We start from the raw sequence: 19447 nt of genomic DNA, 5'->3' as shown, positions 1-19447 counted from the left end.
CTAACTATAACTCAAGAGTCCAAATTCTATTAAGATGGCTGAAAAGAAAAATGGGTGCAGTGGTTCATGCCTGTAATCCCAGCACTTTGGGAAGCTGAGGCAGGCGGATCAACTGAGGTCGGGAGTTCGAGACCAGCCTGACCAACATGGAGAAACCCCATCTCTACTAAAAATACAAAACTAGCCAGGCATGTTGGCACATGCCTGTAATCCTAGCTACTAGGGAGGCTGAGGCAGGAGAACCTGGGAGGTGGAGGTTGCGGTAAGCCGAGATCACACCATTGCACTCCAGCCTGGGCAACAAGAGTGAAACTCCTTCTTAAAAAAAAAAAGAAAAGAAAAGACTTAGAATAAATTTGACTTTGTAATATGAAAAAAATTTGCATGATGTAAATAATGACAAAATACAAATATTTGCAACTCATAGGTAAAGAGGTGTAATAATAAAGAACTTCTAGGAATTGAAAAGAAAAAAGTTCAAGGCCCAATGAAAAATATGCGAAAGATAGCATAATTCATTGAAAAGGAAATATAACCCTTCAATATGTGAAAGAATTAACAATATTTATTTGATTTTTAAGGGTCTTACTATGTCAGCCAGGCTGGAGTGCAGTGGTGCGATCTCAGCTCACTACAGCCTTGACCTCCCGGGCTCAAGCAGTCCTCCCAACTCAGCCTCCTGAGTAGCTGGGAGTATAGGCACACACCACCATGCTTAGCTAATGTTTAAATTTTTTGTAGAAACCTATGTTGTCCAGGCTGGTCTTGAACTCCTGGCCTCAAGCAATCCTCCCACCTCAGCCTCTCAAATTGCTGGGATTATAGGTGTGAGGCCCTGCACCTGGTGAACACTTTATTAATTAATGAAAGTCAAAACTACACCAAGATGCCATTTCTCACCTATCAGATTGGAGAAAATGCATCTTTGACAACCACTTTGTTAGTGAGGGCTGAGGGAAGCAAGGATTTGGGAGGATAATCTTTTAATAATATAGATGCACTTACTCTTTGATCCAGTAATTTCCATTCTAAGAGTGTCCTATCTGTACATACAAAATTAGGTATGTACAGAGTGATTCATTGTAGCACTGATTGCTGGAAACCACCTGATTGTCCAGCAGTGGGAAACTGGCTTAATAACCTATGTTATGCCAACCCAGTTAGGAGCTGTAAAATAGGTAAGCATTGATGTGGAGAAATTTCTTGGATATCTTGTTGATAGAAAAAAAAATCAAGGTGTAAAACAGTTTACAATACTACCTTTTTATGAGAAAAAGGAATGAGAACATGCACCTGTATTTGTGTAAGGAAACACTGGAAGGATAAATAAGTAGCAAATAAAAATGCTTATCTGTGGGCATGATGGGGACAGGATACATGGTGACAAGTTGGCAGTGAGACTTTGTTTTAATTTTTGAACTATGTAAACATATGACCTTTTTCAAAAAAGCTATTGTTAAGCTAGAAACAAAAATGAGCATGTAGAGTATTAATCTTTAAGAATTAGTTAGGATAACACTTGGTGCTGTACCAGCAGCCAGCCACATGAGGCCTTACTCACGTTGCATAGGTGAGAACTACTTACCTGGCTACACCTGCCTCCATGTTGAGCTGGGAAATGTAGCCCCCAGCTAGGCAGCCATTCCCATGCCCAACTCTACACTCCGTAGGGAAGGGACAGTACAAGGTTTTGGTGGTCTCCTAGCCATCTCCACCTCAGGACTTGGGCCCCTGATCTGTATGGTCACCTCTTCAGAGGGCCAGAGAGCAGCTCCCATTGGCGGTGTGAGAGTGTTTGCCCAGAGTTACTCTTTTGATATTGTCAGTATTCTTATATTCTTATTCTTTGCCAGTGATTTAGGTGAAAATGGAACCTCATGGTTTAATTTGCATTTCTATGTGTCATCTTAATTTAGTGACGTATGTTTTGGGAACAGGAAATATAACAAAATAGCTCTGTAGGCCGTTAGGTATGGTTTAGATATGGTTTGTTTGGCCCTGCCAAGTCTCATGTTGAAATTTGATCTGGCAGGAGGTAGGAGGTGTCTGGGTCACCCAGGGGGAAGATTCCTTATGAATGGCTGGGTCCACTCTTATGGGAATGAGTGAGTTCTGACTCTGAGTTCCTGTAAAAGGAGCCTGGCACCTTCCCTCCCCTCTGCTCTGCGATCTCTGCCCACCACATCCCCTTGCTTTCCACCCTGAGTGGAAGCAACCTGAAGCCATCACCAGATGTGGATGTGGGCACCATGCTTCTTGTCTAGCCTGCAGAACTGTGAGCCAAATAAACCTCTTTTCTTTATAAATTACCTAGCCTCAGGTATTCCTAATATAGCAACACAAAAATGGACTAAGGCACCTTTGTCATCTGAAGATAAATTTCTAGAATATTGTCTTATCATGAGTTTTTGTTTTGTTTGAATAAAAAGTGAAGGCGAATGATTTTGAGAGCTAGTTTAGGAGAGTCTTAGTATGGCCTTGACCCGGAAGGCTGAAAGGCAGGGTCCTGGGGCCTGTGACCTGTCCTGATGATCAGGCCTGTGGGATACAGTAGTGGGGAGGAGGTTTTCCTGCTCCATTCTCAGCACAAGGAGCCTTAGGGCTTAGAGATTTTCAACTGGATGAAAATGCAGATGCTTGTGTTTGTTTATTCTAAAGCTTTTTTTTGCACCTTCATTTCTAATTCTTCATTGATAAGTTGCCCACATACTGCATTTAAAATTAATTTCTTTTTTTTGTTGTTTTTTTGAGACAGAGTTTCTCCCTTATTGCCCAGGCTGGAGTGCAATGGCGCAATCTCAACTCACTGCAACCTCCGCCTCCTGGGTTCAAGCGATTCTGCTGCCTCAGCCTCCCAAGTATCTGAGATTACGGGCATGTGCCACCATGCCCAGCTAATTTTGTATTTTAGTGGAGATGGGGTTTCACCATGTTGGTCAGGCTGGTCTCAAACTCCTGACCTCAGGTAATCCACCTGCCTTGGCCTCCCAAAACGCTGAGATTACAGGAATGAGCCACCGTGCCTGCCCCCTTAAAATTAAATATTGATTAAAGGCATCCATCTCATCAACCAACATTATAATGAAAAGTAAATGTCAGCCAGGTGCGGTGACTCACGCCTGCTCTCCCAGCACTTTGGGAGGCCGAGGCGAGTGGATCACGAGGTCAGGAGATGCACACCATCCTGGCCAACATGGTGAAACCCCGTCTCTACTAAAAATACAAAAATTAGCTGGGCGTGGGTGCGTGTACCTGTAATACCAGCTACTCGGGAGGCTGAGGCAGGAGAATCATTTGAACCTGGGAGGCGGAGGTTGTGGTGAGCCAAGATTGCACCACTGCACTCCAGCCTGGCAACAGAGCGAGACTGTCTCAAAAAAAAAAAAAAAAAAGTAAAATGTCAATCATTTTATTTACTGCTGGCACCTGGTGAACACTTGATAAATATTTGTTAAATGAATGGAAATTCAAATAAATAATACTTTTTATTTGTTCTCACCTCTACTATAAAATACTCTGAATGTTCTAGACATTATTGGAAGATGAGAAATAGATAACCCTTATAAAAAGGAGGAGTCAAAATTGCCATTGATTGCAGTGACTTTCTACTTGAAAAACTCCAAAAAAAAAATCAAGTAAAAGGCTGGGCACAGTGGTTCACGCCTGTAATCCCAGCACTTTGGGAGGCCGAGGTGGGCAGATCACCTGAGGTTGGGACTTCGAGAGTAGCCTGACCAACATGGAGAAACCTGTCTCTAGTAAAAATACAAAATTAGCCGGGGGTGGTGGTGCACGCCTGCAATCCCATCTACTCGGGAGGCTGAGGCAGGAGAATTGCTTGAACCCGGGAGTTGGAAGTTGTGGTGAGCCAAGATCGCGCCATTGCACTCTAGCCTGGGCAACAAGAGCGAAACTCCGTCTCAAAAAACAACGACAAAAAAAAAAACAAGTAAAAATTCTCAAAACTCATGGAGTCCCCTCCCCTCCCCTCCCCTGTCCTTCCCTCCCCTCCCCTCCCCTGTCCTCCCCTGCCCTTCTGTCTCTTTTTGAGACAGAGTCTCGCTCTGTGACCTAGGCTGGAGTGCAGTGGCGCGATCTCAGCTCACTGCAACCTCCATTTCCGGGGTTCAAGCAATTCTCTGCCTCAGCCTCCCGAGTAGATAGGATTATAGGCACCCGCCACCACGCCCGGCTGATTTTTGTATTTTTAGTAGACACGGGGTTTCACCATCTTGGCCAGACTGGTTTTGAACTCCTGACCTCGTTATCCACCCAGCTGGGCCTCCCAAAGTGCTGGGATTGTAAGCCACTGTGCCCGGCCTTTTCTTTCTTTTTTGACAGAGTCTTGCTCTGTTGCCCAGGCTGGAGTGCAATGGCACAATGTTGGCTCACCACAACCTCCGCCTGCTGGGTTCAAGTGCTTCTCCTGCCTTAGCCTCCTGAGTAGCTGGAATTACAGGCATGTGCCACCACGCCCAGCTAATTTTTTCTGTGTATTTTTAGTAGAGACGGGTTTTCACCATGTTGGCCAGGCTAGTCTCAAAATCCTGACCTCATGTGATCCACCCGCCTCGATCTCCAAACGTGCTGGGATTACAGGCATGAGCCACCGTGCCCGGGTGTAAGATTTTCTTTTCTTTTTTTGTGTGTGTGTGTTTTGAGACGGAGTGTCGCTCTGTCCCCCAGGCTGGAGTGCAGTGGCGGGATCTTGGCTCACTGCAAGCTCCGCCTCCTGGGTTCACGCTCTTCTCCTGCCTCAACCTCCCGAGTAGCTGGGACTACAGGCGCCCGCCACCACGCCCAGCTATTTTTTTGTATTTTTAGTAGAGACGAGGTTTCACCGTGTTAGCCAGAATGGTCTCGATCTCCTGACCTCGTGATCCACCCGTCTCGGCCTCCCAAAGTGCTAGGATTACAGGCGTGAGCCACCACGCCCGGTCCCAGGTGTAAGATTTTCAAATGCAAAATAAATATACCAACTGATAGCTTTCTTATATACCAGTAACCAGCTGGCTGGAAAGATGGAACAGGATAAACTTTTATTTCACAGTAGCAATAGCAACAACAAAATACACATCTAAGAATTACATAAGAAATACATAGAATGTTACCTAGGCGAGGTGGCGCATGTCTGTAATTCCAGTGAGCTGAGATCGCACCACTGCACTCCAGCCTGGGTGAGCAAGTGAGACTCTGTCTCAAAAAAAAACAAAAAACACGCATAGACTGTTTATCAAGAAAATCATTAAACTTTACTGAGAGACATAATATTTAAGTGGAAAGATACAGTTTGTTTTTAGATGAGAACATACAATATTGAAAAGATACTGTTCCTTTTTCAAATAGATTTCATGCAGTTCTGGCTGGGATTGGTCAGACTCAGCTTCCTGTCTAGGGAAGTCAGAGTGCAGGGGCCTGAGTGAGTCTGGCAACATGGGGATTCTGTGGTTGCAGACGGCAAGCTTCAGTGTGGACCAGGGACTGGAGGTTCAGCAGCCGCTTAGCGTGGGATTGCAGGGGCGGTGGGCCCTGTATCTTTTGTTGCTAAGCTCACCTTGGCCTGTGTCCAGCTTCCAGCTCTCTGAGAGCTGCGGAAGATGGCTGGGGGTTCTCCACACTGTTTTCTAAACTTTAACATACTTCTGCTTTTAGTGTATCTGGCCTTCGTAGTCCAAACCTTCTATGGTTTACCCTCTGCAGAGAATAAATCTTCAGTCTCTTGATGAATTGGGGCAGTGGCCCCACTCTGTTCAGTGAGGTAGAAGCCCAGACGGGTTTTTCCAGTTGTCCGCCTGATCCTGGCCTCCACCTGATCCTCCCGCCACGGGTACCTGGTGCTGTTGGTTCATGTGCCTTGTCTTCCCCTGTGCTGGTTTTGGACTTTTCTGGATCTGTCACCTTAATTCCTGTCCTTCTGTTTTCCAGCTTCTAATGTGGTATTGGTGTCTCTCCTCTCATTCTGACCACTATGGTTTTATATCCTTTTAAAATTTTACTGTCATTTTAGTGGCATTTTAAGAGGAAATAGTTAAATCTACCATCTTTAGCCTCAAACATAAGACTGTAACATGTGTGGCCGGGGCATGGTGGCTCACACCTGTAATCCCAGCACTTTAGGAGGCCAAGGCGGGTAGATCACGAGGTCAGGAGTTCAAGACCAGCCTGGCCAATATGGTGAAACCCTGTCTCTACTAAAAATACAAAAATTAGTCGGGCGTGGTGGTGCATGCCTGTAATCCCAGCTACTTGGGAGGCTGAGGCAGGAGAATTGCCTGAACCTGGGAGGCGGAAGTTGCAGTGAGCCGAGATCGCACCACTGCACTCCAGGCTGGGTGACAGAGTGAGACTCCATCTCAAAAAAAAAAAAAAAAAAAAAAAAAAAAAAAGTAACGTGTTCAAGGTGGCAATTTAAACACAGTGAAGAATTGCTTGGGTAACTATTTAGAGATACAGAAATTTAGAATCCTACGTCCCACTATATACCAAAATAAATTCCAGAGAGACTGAATGTAAAGTGTAAAGCCCTAAAATAAAAAGAATATTTACCCACTCTCAAGGACAGAGGAGAACATCAAGAAACCATAAAGAAAAAGATGAATAGAGTAGAAATACATAAAAATTTAAAATGGTCCTTAATTTAAAAAATCCTAAATAAAAGAGACAAATGATAGAGGGAAATATTTTTAACGTACACTTCTATAATGTCAGACAAAGATTTAGCATCCTTAATATAAAAAGTTCTTGGCCAGGCACAGTGGCTCACGCCTATAATCCTAGCACTTTTTGGAGGCTGAGGTGGGAGGATCACTTGAGGCCAGGAGTTCAAGACCAGTCTGGCCAACATGGTGAAACCCTGTTTCTACTAAAAATAAAAAAACTCAGCAGGCATGGTGGTACATGCTTGTAGTCCCAGCTACTTGGGAGGCTATGGCATGAGAATTGCTTGAACCTGGGAGATGGAGGTTGCAGTGAGCCGAGATCGCACCACTGCACTCCAGTCTGGGCGACAGAGCAAAATTCTTTCCCTGCTTACCCCCACCTAGACAAAGTTATTATACATCAGTAATGAGAAGATAATATGAGATATTTTGTCATTAACCACAGTGATTAGAGCAGCATGTTATTCTGATTTTTAAAAATGTATAGAAGAAACAGTGAAATAGAAATGTTTTTTTTTTTTTTTTTTTTTTGAGACGGAGTCTCGCTCTGTGGCCCAGGCGGGAGTGCAGTGGCGCAATCTCGGCTCACTGCAAGCTCCGCCTCCCGGGTTCACGCCATTCTCTTGCCTCAGCCTCCCGAGTAGCTGGGACTACAGGCGCCCGCCATCACGCCCGGCTAATTTTTTTTTGTATTTTTAGTAGAGACGGGGTTTCACCGTGTTAGCCAGGATGGTCTCGATCTCCTGACCTCGTGATCCACCCGCCTCGGCCTCCCAAAGTGCTGGGATTACAAGCGTGAGCCACCACGCCCGGCCAATAGAAATGTTATATGCAATTTTTTTTTTTTTTTTTTTACAAAGGAGGCATCATTAATGCATGCTAGGGTAATTGTATACTTGTTTGGGAGAAAATAGTTTTGTCATCTCGTATATGCTAAAATAATTCCAGATTAATTTAACAGTAACTATTGTTAACATTTTGGTTATAACTTTTCACACTGTTCATACACCTATATTTTTGCATTTTCACATATGATTTTATAAGCTGTAAAACCACTATATTCTGGATTTTCATCCAGGTCTTCACATAGAGATGGCATTGCTTTGAATGACTACATAGCACCTCCTTATCCCATGGATGCCAGCCTCCCTTGGCACTGGTGTGGCACAGTGCTGTCTGACCCTGAAAGGTGTTCTGGGGGGTGGCCGATATGGACAAGGGGTCCAAGTTCACGTGTGCCCGGAGTGCCACCCTATGCACTCTGCATAGGTCTGCATAGGTCTCCTGCCACCTCCTAGCCTGAGGCCTGCAGATGTGGAGTTTGTACCTTTGTTGCCTCTTCTGGGTACTTGCTGTGTTTTGACACATACTGAAGAGGGTGTGCAGGTGATGGTGCTAGTTTGCTTGTACAGAAGCAAAGAAAGAGGGATAAAATGCAGACCAGTGAGGAAACAGGCAGTAATGTTAGGAGGCCTTCACAAACTTCACTGTTGCCCATGAGGATAGACCAACAGTTGGTGGAATGGTAGCTGGAAGAAACTCCTGCCTGCAGCATATCATGACTTCAGGGAAATTTTAGAAGAATAGTCACTGACTTTGCCAGTAAAGATCCTATATGATGTGCACCCAGCATCCTTGTGCTAAATGGGCTCATCGTTTATTTAATTAGCTTCCTATTGATGGACAATTGGCTTCTTCCTAGTTCTTCCTGCTATTATTAGCAACTTTCATATGTCTAACTTTTGTTCCTTTGTTAGTGTCCAATTATTTAGCGTAATTTGAGATTTGATGGGTCAAAGAGTATGAATATTTAAAATTTTGAAACTGTTGCCAATGTGACTTCCAACATGATTAGGAAAGTTTGCCTTCCTACCAAGAGAGCCTCAGTGCCCATTTCCCCCACCCCTGCTGTCATTAGATGGTATTATTATTATTACTGTTTTTGAGACAGGGTCTCACTCTGTCACCCAGGCTGGACTGCAGTGGCATGGTCTTGGCTCATTGTAGTCTCGACCTCCCAGGCTCAAACAATCCTCCCACCTCAGCTTCCTGAGTAACTGGAACTACAAGCACGTGTCATGACACCCAGCTAATTTTTGTGTTGTTTGTAGAGGCAGGGTTTTGCCATGTTGTCCAGGCTGGTCTTGAACTCTTGGGCTCCAGTGATCCTCCTGCCTTGTCCTTCCAAAGTGCTGGGATTACAGGTGTGAGCCACTGCACCTGGCCATTAGGTGATATTATTATGAATGTCTGTCAGTTGATGGGTGAGATTGAAATTTGTGTGATGTTTGCCTTTTATATATATGTTGCATAATATTTATATCACTTGAATCTTAAATTTTTTATAAATTCTTACTTTCCCTTGAACATATTTTGAATGGTCCAAGTTGTGTTTAAGAAACTCATCTTATCCTACAGAACCAATTTTTCTACCTAATGAGAAAGTGGTTCACGATAGAAACTGCAGACCTCATTCATTAGCTTCATCCCACCAATACTTCTTGAGCATCCAAATTCTGGGCACTGGTGATAGAGTATTGACAACAAGAGCTACGCTACTTATTCGTGGGGAGAGATTCTGTCCATCATGTTAGAGATAAATGTTTTGTTGCAGACAGAAGGGAAAGGAGTGAGTCTGACACAACATGGTGAGAGAGCCTGATTAGGCTGGATGGCCAGGGGACTTTCGAGAATAGCAGTGAAGCATATGTTTGGAGGAGGCAGAAGATTTGGGGCCCCTGCGAGAGACTGAAAGGCGCTGGAGAGTCAGGGGTTGGGTGAGGAAGTGCTAGAGAGGGGACAGCAGCATGGGGCACAGGGTCCTGGACCAGTTTTAGAGGCCCTTGGCAGGATTAAGGGGGCATTGACCCCAGACATAGTCTCTGGAGTCTGGGAAGGAAATATCGGGCCTTCTAGTTATATTTCCCCAACCTCTGAGGAGACCTATTTAGTTCAGTTTACTGTGTCTTTCTTTGTTCATTTGTAGAGAGCAGAGTCTTGTTATATTGCCCAGGCTGGCCTTGAGCTCCTGTCCCAGGTAGTTCTCCTACTTTGGCCTCCCAACGTGCTGGGATTACAGGTGCGTGCACTGTGCGGCCTCATTGTGCTGCTCACTGCCCAGTCCTCATTCGAGATGCCTGCCTCGCTAAGCATTTCCCTTCCTGCCTCATTCATATGCACAGCAGCCCATTAGGGCAGATTCCATCACAGTCAGAGGCTCTGGAGACCCCTCTCCTACCACTCTGCCACCTGCCACTCTGCCACAGTGCTCCTGGTGCTCCGCAGGGCTTTTAAAGTCCTCAGACTGAGGGCCCAGCCCTCTCTTCCTCCCCCGTCAAAGGAACCAGGGCAGGTTGTTCAAACAGTTACCCTGGACAGTAGGAGGAAAAGGAAATCACTGTCAAACTGGCAGAGGGAACGCTGGCACCTCTGCCACACTCCCTGCCCAGCTGCTGTTCAGCAAGGCCCTGAAGGCCCACACCTCCCAGTCCTGTAATCTAAGGGATATCCACAGAGGGACCTGCACCCTGCAAGGAAAGTGTGCAAGAGCAGCGCCTGGGAAAGCCATCTGCCACCTCTGAAAGCAGACAGGTGGCCATCTGCCTGGCTGAGCTGATAGAAAAGCCTCTTGCAGGCACTGAGTGTTTATTGATATGTGGCAACCTAAGGAGCCCTGTGCCCCCGTGGGAAGCAAAACCTCCGCAGTCTCAGGTGCAAGAGTGGAGACCTAGAGGAGCTACCATAAATGTCTGACCCTGGATGTGTTTTTTCCCTTGCAGTTTTACAGATGCTGTTTGATGGGAAGGCTTTACATAGTACACTCAGGGTATGCCCTTCTTCATCACCACCAAGCGCAGAAACTGCATCAATAGAAACAGGCTTCATCAACACAGATGATCTTGTGGGCTCCCCTGGTTGTTAGAATGGCTTTTGTTCTCTCAGGAAAGGACTCTGTGTCTGTCCATCAGTACCTCCTATTATTGGCCCAGTTTCACAGCTCAAAGCATGCAAAAGGAAGTCAGCCTCCTGAAATATAAATGACAACTTTTATTTGGTGGCATGCAGTGAAACTTTTTTTTCTTAAAAATACCCTTTATGGGCTGGGCGCAGTGGCTCACGCCTGTAATCCCAGCACTTTGGGAGGCTGAGGCCGGTGGATCACGAGATCAGGAGATTGAGACCATCCTGGCCAACATGGTGAAACCCCGTCTCTACTAAAAATACAAAAATTACCTGGGCATGGTGGTGGGTGCCTGTAATCCCAGCTACTCGGGAGGCTGAGGTAGGAGAATGGCTTGAACCCGGGAGGCGGAGGTTGCAGTGAGCTGGGATCGTGCCACTGCACTCCAGCCTGGTGACAGAGCAAGACTGTCTCAAAAACAAACAAACAACAAAAAAAAAACCGTTTATACTTTGTCAAATGCAGTATGGGAAATCAAAGTACAAAACAACAAAAAAACCCTTTAAATTTCCCAAAGAAAATGTTTTACTCTTTTAGCAGGAAATGGTAAAAACAAAAAGGGGGAAGTGGCAACAGAAAGCTTTCTAGATTGAGTTCAGGGACACAGCATTTCTTCTTAAGCATGATGAGCTCAGCTTTTTTTTTCTATATTGCCCTTAAAACTGGGGACAGGGTCTGTTTTTTAAAATCTTTGTTTTCTGCATATTTCTCTTTGATAGGCAGCAGCAGGGAATGGAAGTGCTCTTCTTGTAGTCTGGAGGGGCTGCATTAAGTGTCGTCCAGCCTGCAGGTCGTCAGGATGGAAAACATCAGTTGTGTACATGCATGATGTGGCACCAGTGAATCCAGTGGTGCCCAGAACACCCCACTGTAGCTTAGCAGGAATGTGCTGCATTATTTGAGAGTGGGGGCCCTCTGGAGTGATTGTACCTTTACTTTTCCTGTTTCCTGATCCAAATACAAAATCATTGACAGCTCAGACCTCTTAGGAAATAATGTCTTTGTTCTTCAAAGTAGTCTAATTATGCTTGAGTATCTGTTCAGAAAGTACAGAAAGAGAAGAAAGAGATAGGAAAGAGAAAGCAAAGTCAGGTAAAAGAAGGGATAGATGTGATTGGGGTAGGTTTCTAATTCTGAACTGCTGGAGGGAGGCCAAACACTGTCATTCTAAGAAAATACGACAGTCAAAAGCTGAGGAAACCAGACAAGTTAATTTTTTTTTTCTAAAATAGTAATTTTTTTTTCTAATTATAACAATTCTATCTTAGGATTTTATTGCACTTAATAGTTTGGCTTGTCAGATTTCTTTTGGTGTCACTGTCTTTCACCATCCATTTGGGATCCTGTGGTTGTGTAAATGGGGAACCAAAAGGGTCCTCATCATGGCCATCAGGAAAGATGGGCTGTGTCCAGTTCCAATGGACAGTGCATCTTGTACACAAGCCTCAGCTTTTCATCTGTAACACGTGGCTTATGTACAGCCTTTTAGACTATGAGGCATGAATAGCAAACAGTGGCAATCGATGCTGAAAAACCAGAATGTTTAAAAACTGGGCCATAAAAATGTAGAACGTATTCTGTCACCAGAGCTGGGGTCAGTGGGGTGACCCCCTCCCTGCCTCCCTGCCCCCCAGTTCTCCCCAGACCTTCCTGCCTGCCTGTTTCCTGCCTCCAGGACAGTGTGCACCCTGTGTCCGTCTTCTGCCGCTACACCTGTGAACTGGCACCACAGGTGGGAACAGCCCTTCAGGCCAGATTCTGGTTTTTGGTTTTTGCTTTACTGCCAAATATGATCTAGTGCTACATTCAACTTAGTTGATTTATTGAGGCTATAAATTCCTACCCATTTGTTTATTCACTTAGGAATTTGCTTTAGGTCTTGAAATAAGAACCTCCCCGTCCTTAAAGATTAAAGGCTTTATTTGGCCGCTCCAGGATGGCTTCCTTTGTCTCCAAATTCCCATTCCCCTTGGGTTTATACAAAGACCACTGCGAAGGAGAGTCCAGCATCCTCAGTATCCTGACCAGCCTGTTCCAAATGTCAGCGGCAGGGGAGACCTTGAGACACTGAAGTGCAGGTGGTGGCACGTTAGTGATCACGCAGCAGTCATTCTTTGATGAGCAGAAACCACGGCCTGACGTTGAGTTTGGTTCTGCAGAGGACAGAAGGAAAGGCCAGGAAGGCGAAGTGAGCAGTGTGTCCCAAGGTGTGCAGACAGCCGTTGGCCCAGGCAGGCTATGGTCTCTAGGCCCAAGACAAATTTTAATTTCTCTATGCCTCGGGTGCTTGCTTATTTCCTGGACCTTGGAAGGATCACAGCAACTCTCCCGTAAGAGCCAAGGGTCTGCCTGCCGGGGGTAGAAGCTAACATTCTCAGTCCTGCTCTAAAGTGAACCCAGCAGCAGCCCAGCCTGTACAGAATACAGCTGGGTCAGGCTTAGGTTCAGCTGTGTTTTTCCCTTTGGGGCCTTTATCTGTGTGCCCTCCTGAGTGCTGCATAAATAACCATATTCCCAAACACATGTTTTGAGAGCATTGTCTTTTGGAAGAGTTAGAAGGTAATGCTGCATATTCTGCTTAAATATTTACATATTCTGCTTATAAATTTGCTTATTCTTTAAATTTTTTGTTTGAGTTATTTACTTTCATTTACAGATACTTGTTCACACTTTGGGAATTAACTTTAAAGGTATATTAAACATGGCATGTTTGCCAGGAAAAAAAAAAACAGAAACAAACAAAAAAAACACCTATGGCTTGCCCTCAGCTCTAGAATTTGGAAAAAGCATTATATGAGATTTCTGATTTATTTTGTCTGTTATTTTGGTATTACTTAGAGATTCAATTTTTAAACTAGCTAATTTTCATTTACAGATTATTTGTATGTGTCCTTCATAATTAGATGACAGAACTGTGGTGGCGATAGAGCTGCTAATTTAAAATCACCAATTTTGGAGGCTCTGTTTGTTTATTTATAAAAATAGAGACAGAGTCTCACTCTTGCCCAGGCTTGAGTGCAGTGACGTGATCATAGCTCACTACAGACTCAGCCTTCAGAGTAGCTGGGACTATGGGTACACACCACCACATCTCGTTAATTTTTTTTTTAAATTAAGACACCTGGTCTCACTGTGTTGCCCAGGCTGGTCCTGAACTCCTGTCCTCAAGCTATTCTCTTGCTTTGGCCTCCCAAAGTGCTGGAATTATAGGCATCAGCTACCATGCCTGGCCTGTATGTATTTTAATTAGAATTCATTTTAATTTTGAGAAATCTTTTTGATAGATATGTACAATAAATAGATACGCTTTTCAAGAACACTGTCCTGAGCTTGAGAGATACAGATAGTCACTTAATTAGCAGTCCCTTCATTTAGCCTATCACTTTAATAAACAAATGTGGTTGTGCCAGGCATGGTGACTCATGCCTGTAATCCCAGCACTTTGGGAGGCCGAGGTGGGTAGATCACCTGAGGTCAGGAGTTCGAGACCAGCCTGGCCAACATGGTGAAACCCTGTCTCTACTAAAAAATACAAAAATTAGCCAGGTGTGGTGGCACGTGCCTGTAGTCCCAGCTACTTGGGAGGCTGAGGCAGGAGAATCGCTTGAATCCATGAGGTGGGGGTTGCAGTGAGCTGGGATCCTGCCACTGTACTCCAGCCTGGGCAACAGAGCGAGACTCCGTCTCAAAAATAATATAAAAGGCCAGGTGCGGTGGCTCATGTCTGTAATCCTAACACTTTGGGAGGCCAAGGCGAGTGGATCACATGAGGTCAAGAGTTTGAGACCAGCCTGGCCAATGTGGTGAAACCTCATCTCTACTAAAAATACAAAAATTAGCCAGGAATGGTGGCAGGCACCTGTAATCCCAGCTACTTGGGAGGCTGAGGCTAGAGAATCTCTTGAACCCAGGAGGTGGAGGTTGCGGTGAGCCGAGATCATGCCATTGCACTCCAGCCTGGGCTTCAGAGAGAGACTCTGTCTCAAAAAATAAAAATAAAATAAAAAATAATCAAATGTGGTTGTTTACTGTGCCTAGCACCATGTTAGATACAGTGTGTAGTTTTTTTGTTTTGTTTTGTTTTTTTGTTTTGAGACACAGTTTCTCTCTTGTTGCCCAGGCTGGGATGCAACGGTGCAATCTCAGCTCACCTCAACCTCCACCCCCTGAGTTCAAGCAGTTCTCCTGCCTCAGCCTCCCGAGTAGGTGGGATTACAGGCATGTGCCACCACCCCCTGCTAATTTTGTATTTTTAGTAGAGACAGGGTTTCTCCATGTTGGTCAGGTCCCAACCTCAGGTGATCCACCCGCCTGGCCTCCCAAAGTGCTGGGATTATAGGCGAACCACCGTGCTGTCCAGTTTATTTTAAATGATAATAAAAGTCCTAGTCTAGAGCCTAAGGGCCAGGGTCAACTTGAGGCCAATAAAATTAGACTTTCCAGGGCAAGTCCCAAGCATCAGTATTTTGTAAATGTTATAGGAGGCTGCAGTACACAGCCAAGTGACTGTCAAGCAAAGTGACTTCCAATGCAGTTATTTCAATGGGAACAAGACACACACTGTGAAACAGAAAAAGGTGTGAAACTCTTAAGTACAGTGGAAGCCCAAAGAAAGTGATGGTGGTTCTGATCCTTTTTTTGCACTAATCATGGGACAGTAATTCTTTGATTATGGGTTCATCAAGCACAAACTATGAGCCTGGCATTGAGTTAAGTGCCTTGGAGACAAAGGTGAAAGACAAAGTCTTTGCTGGCAGGAATCCATCATATTGGAGAAGAAAGACAACCAGATCCAATGATGTCACTGTTGGGAAGAAAAAAACCTTTCTTCCACCAACTTAGATCCAAATTGTTAGGGGGACTGTGAATTAAATGACAATAGACAGATCAACAGAAGAAATGTTTATTATGCATATGGCAATACTCTAAGAGAGAGTAGCTCTCTGAAGAAGAGGTGAAGGTTTATATACCAGCTTAATAAGGGTGTGTGTGTGTGTGTGTGTGTGTGTGTGTGTGTGTGTGTGTGTGTGTGTGAAGGATTCGTAGGATGGAAGCCTCTGATGAGGCTTTTCTACAGCTTTTTTTTAAATGCTCTGGTATCCAAGGTCAATCATCAGCCTGACTGGAGATCTTCCCAGAGCAGGAGGTTTGTGGCAGCTGACTGTCATAAAGTTCTGCTCTAGTCAGGTAAGGGAAGTTCAGATAAGATGTCTTTCTGCATTTGCTGTAATTCTGTTAACAGGTTTCTCTGGGATCCCCAAAGGGGGTCCATTGAGTCTGTTGAGGGGCTTAGGATTTTATTTTTAGTACTCTTGGGGTACTAATTTACTGTATTAGTCTGTTCTCACGCTGCTAATAAACACATACCTGAGACTGGGTAATTTATAAAGGAAAAAGATTTAATGGACTCACAGTTCCACATGGCTGGGGAGCCCTCACTATCATGGTGGAAGGCAAAGGAGAAGCAAAGTCACATCTTACATGGCGGCACACAGGAGAGCTTGTGCAGTGGAACTCCCATTTATAAAACCACCAGATCTTGTGAGACTTACTACCATGAGAAACAGTATGGGGGAAACTGTCCCCATGATTCAGTTATCTGTACCTGGCCCCACTTTTGACACATGGGGATCATTACAATTCAAGATGAGATTTAGGTGGGGACACAGCCAAATCATAACACGACAACTATTTTTTTATCTTCCAGTTTTTATGGTTATACTTTGTATTTTCTCTTGCCTTATTGTTTTAACTTGCACTTCCAGAATAGTGTTAATAACAGTGATGCTAGTGAATATCCTATCTCTGTCTAGTATTTTACTGCTATGTTTTGCTTTGGTTTGATTACTGGTTTGAAGCAGGTATAAACTTGATCATCCTAAGGGAATGTCCTGTATTCCTATTTCACTAGGGGTTTTATTATTGGGACTACATGTTGAATTTTACTAACTTTGTAAGCCCCTCTTTTATCCTCACTATTGATGCAGCTGATATGTTTGCTCCTGAAATAAAACCTATTTGGTGATATTATGTTAGCCTTTCATTATGTTCCCTAGATTTCATTTTTTATTGGGATGAAATATATATAACATAAAACTTACCATTTTAACCATTTTGAGGTGTATAATTTAGTGGCATTAAATACTTTCACATTGTTGTGCAAACATCACCACCATTCATTTCCAGAACTTTTCACCATCCCAAATAGAAACTCTGAAACCGTTAAGCAATACCTCCCCATTTTCCCCTTCCCACAACTCCTGGTAAGCACTGTTAGACTTTCTGTCTGTATGAATTTGCCTATTCTAGGTACATCACATAAATGGAATCATATAATATTTATCCTTTGTGTCTGGCTTATTTCACTTAGCATAATGTTTTAAAAGTTCATCCATGTTGTAGCATGCATCCAAATTTCATTCTTTTTATGGCTACATAATACTCCATTGCATGTGTATCCATTCATCTGTTCATTTGTCAATTTATTCATCTGCTGATGGACACTTGGGTTACTTCCACCTTTTGACTATTATGAATAATGCTGCTATGAACATTGGTCTACAAGTATCTATTTCAGTCCTTGATATCAGTTCTTTGGAGTATATATCGAGGAGTGGAATTGCTAGATTATATAGTAATTCTAGGCTTAACTTTTTGAGGAATGGCCAAACTGTTTTCCATAGCAGCTGGACTATTTTATATTCCTACCTGATTCGTTTTTATACTCCCAGCATGTGTGTATCTCTTCATATTTGAAACTCTTGGTAGTTTGCTTTGTGGTGCTATATTGATTCCATTTTCACATTATACTAAAGCCAGCTTTGATTTTTAATGTGCTCTCTTATTTTCCCCGTTTTGCCAGATTGTATGATACAATATCTGTTTCTTTTTTTCTTTTTTTTTTTTTTTTGAGACGGAGTCTCGCTCTGTTGCCCAGGCTGGAGTGCAGTGGCGCGATCTCGGCTCACTGCAAGCTCCGCCTCCCAGGATCACACCATTCTCCTGCCTCAGCCTCCCGAGTGGCTGGGACTACAGGCGCCTGCCACCATGCCCGGCTAATTTTTTTTGTATTTTTAGTAGAGACGGGGTTTCACCGTGTTAGCCAGGGTGGTCTCAATCTCCTGACCTCGTGATCCGCCCATCTCGGCCTCCCAAAGTGCTGGGATTACAGACGTGAGCCACCGCAACCGCCAATATCTATTTGTTAGAATTTAGGGGGAAATGCTTGTCAGTCCTTCTGGGATTAGTGGCTTTCAGGGATGTAATTCTTTGATAGCTTTGTCTAATACCTCCTTTGGAGAAAGGTTTAATTAGTTTTTTTCCGCACAATTTGAGTGAGTTGTCGCTACTTGCTTATTTATTGAGATGGAGCCTTGCTTTGTTGCCCAGACTGGAGTGTCATGGCTAGTCACAGGCTCAGTCACAGCTCATTGCAGCCTCAACCTCCCAGGCTCAAGTAATCCTCCCATCTCAGCCTCCCGGGTAGCTGGGACCACAGGCTCAAGTCAGCACACCCAGCGCATTTGTTTTTTTTTTTTTTTTTTTTTACCAAATGGTTTGTGTCATTGAATTATCAAAATTGTATTGGCTTAGCAAAGTACATAGTATTCTTTATTAAAAATAAAAATCTCTTCTATGGCCATCTGACCTTTTTGATCCCTGATTTTGTATATTCATATTCTCTTTCTAGCCCAAAACTTATTAGTCTATTTCTTGCCTTTTCTCGAAGAACTAGCTCTTGTATTTGTTGTTTTTATCTGTGAACTTTTTTCCTTTTTTTTTTTGAGACAGAGTCTTGCTCTGTTGCCCATGCTGGAGTGCAGTGGCGCCATCTCGGCTTACTGCAACCTCTGCCTCCCAGATTCAAGCGATTCTCCTGCCTCAGCCTCCCGAGTAGCTGGGACTACAGGCGTGTGCCACCACGCCCAGCTAATTTTTGTATTTTTGATAGAGACGGGTTTTCACCACGTTGGCCAGGATGATCTTGATCTCCTGACCTCGTGATCTGCCCACCTAGGCCTCCCAAAGTGCTGGGATTCCAGGCGTGAGACCCTGCGCCCAGGCTTTTTTCCTTTTTTTTTTTTTTTCTAAACCCACAGCCAACATCATATGTGAACTTTTTTTAAAAACATGAAAACATTTTTATTTTTCTGATATGCCTTTCAAGTATAATATAGACTTACAGAATTTGCCTTTCCAAGAGATTTTCAGACTTGCTGAAGAGATTTATCTTTCCTTCTGGGCTCAAGTGATCCTCCAATCTTAGCCTCCTAAGTAGCTGGGACCACAGGCATGCACACTGTGCCCAGCTAATTTTTAATTTTTTTTTTTATAGAGACAGAGTCTCCCTGTTTTGCCCAGGCCAGTTTCAAACTCAAGGTGCTCAAGGCGTCCTGCTGCCTTGGCCACTCAAAGTGCTGGGATTACAGGTGTGAACCACCACACCTGGCCAAGATTTATCCTTGACCATAACACTGACTGAAATGGAATCTAGAAAAAATAAATTTTATTATGGGAACTATACTCTTAGGTATTAAAATAATATAGTTAGTAGTTCATAATTAAATGAAGAAAAAACTCACAGGATGAGAGAGAAAGAAAGAAGCATACCCCAATCACACATCCTGGTACAGTTTTAAAGACAGATAATGGTTGCAGTCCAGGAGAGAGAAGGGTGCTGGGGAGTACCCTGCTGAAAACAGCATGCTGGCAGTATTTCCAGATGACAAACTCCTGTCCCTTATGAGACTCTTGCAAAACTTAATTATTTACAGGAATATATGTCTGTCTGGTAAAAATAATGATATAAAACTTCTAATATGTAAGC

The 19447-nt window shown here is 43.9% G+C and overlaps 1 protein-coding gene across 6 annotated transcripts in view, besides 3 other annotated features; it reads left to right on the top strand.

The window, feature by feature from the left end:
• The window catches only part of ABHD12 (abhydrolase domain containing 12, lysophospholipase), a 96093-nt gene that overhangs the window by 24222 nt on the left and 52424 nt on the right, over positions 1 to 19447 (top strand). The gene's annotated exons all lie outside the window — the stretch shown is intronic.
• Positions 5324 to 5383: a silencer, noted in NCBI's record as "silent region_12748". NCBI's record gives its function as "represses an Ori minimal core promoter by ATAC-STARR-seq in GM12878 lymphoblastoid cells {active_cell/tissue: GM12878}" and the evidence as "EXISTENCE:reporter gene assay evidence [ECO:0000049][PMID:35858748]".
• Positions 8919 to 9518: an enhancer, noted in NCBI's record as "H3K27ac-H3K4me1 hESC enhancer chr20:25337732-25338331 (GRCh37/hg19 assembly coordinates)". NCBI's record gives its function as "activates a minimal SCP1, AML or CMV promoter by ChIP-STARR-seq in primed H9 embryonic stem cells {active_cell/tissue: H9 hESC(primed)}" and the evidence as "EXISTENCE:reporter gene assay evidence [ECO:0000049][PMID:30033119]".
• Positions 9519 to 10119: an enhancer, noted in NCBI's record as "OCT4-NANOG-H3K27ac-H3K4me1 hESC enhancer chr20:25337131-25337731 (GRCh37/hg19 assembly coordinates)". NCBI's record gives its function as "activates a minimal SCP1, AML or CMV promoter by ChIP-STARR-seq in primed H9 embryonic stem cells {active_cell/tissue: H9 hESC(primed)}" and the evidence as "EXISTENCE:reporter gene assay evidence [ECO:0000049][PMID:30033119]".

Source organism: Homo sapiens, chromosome 20 (genome assembly GCF_000001405.40).
Source record: "Homo sapiens chromosome 20, GRCh38.p14 Primary Assembly".
Taxonomy (NCBI): Eukaryota; Metazoa; Chordata; class Mammalia; order Primates; family Hominidae; genus Homo; species Homo sapiens.
The sequence above is the reverse complement of the archived record's forward strand: the minus strand, read 5'-3'. Positions and strand labels throughout refer to the sequence as shown.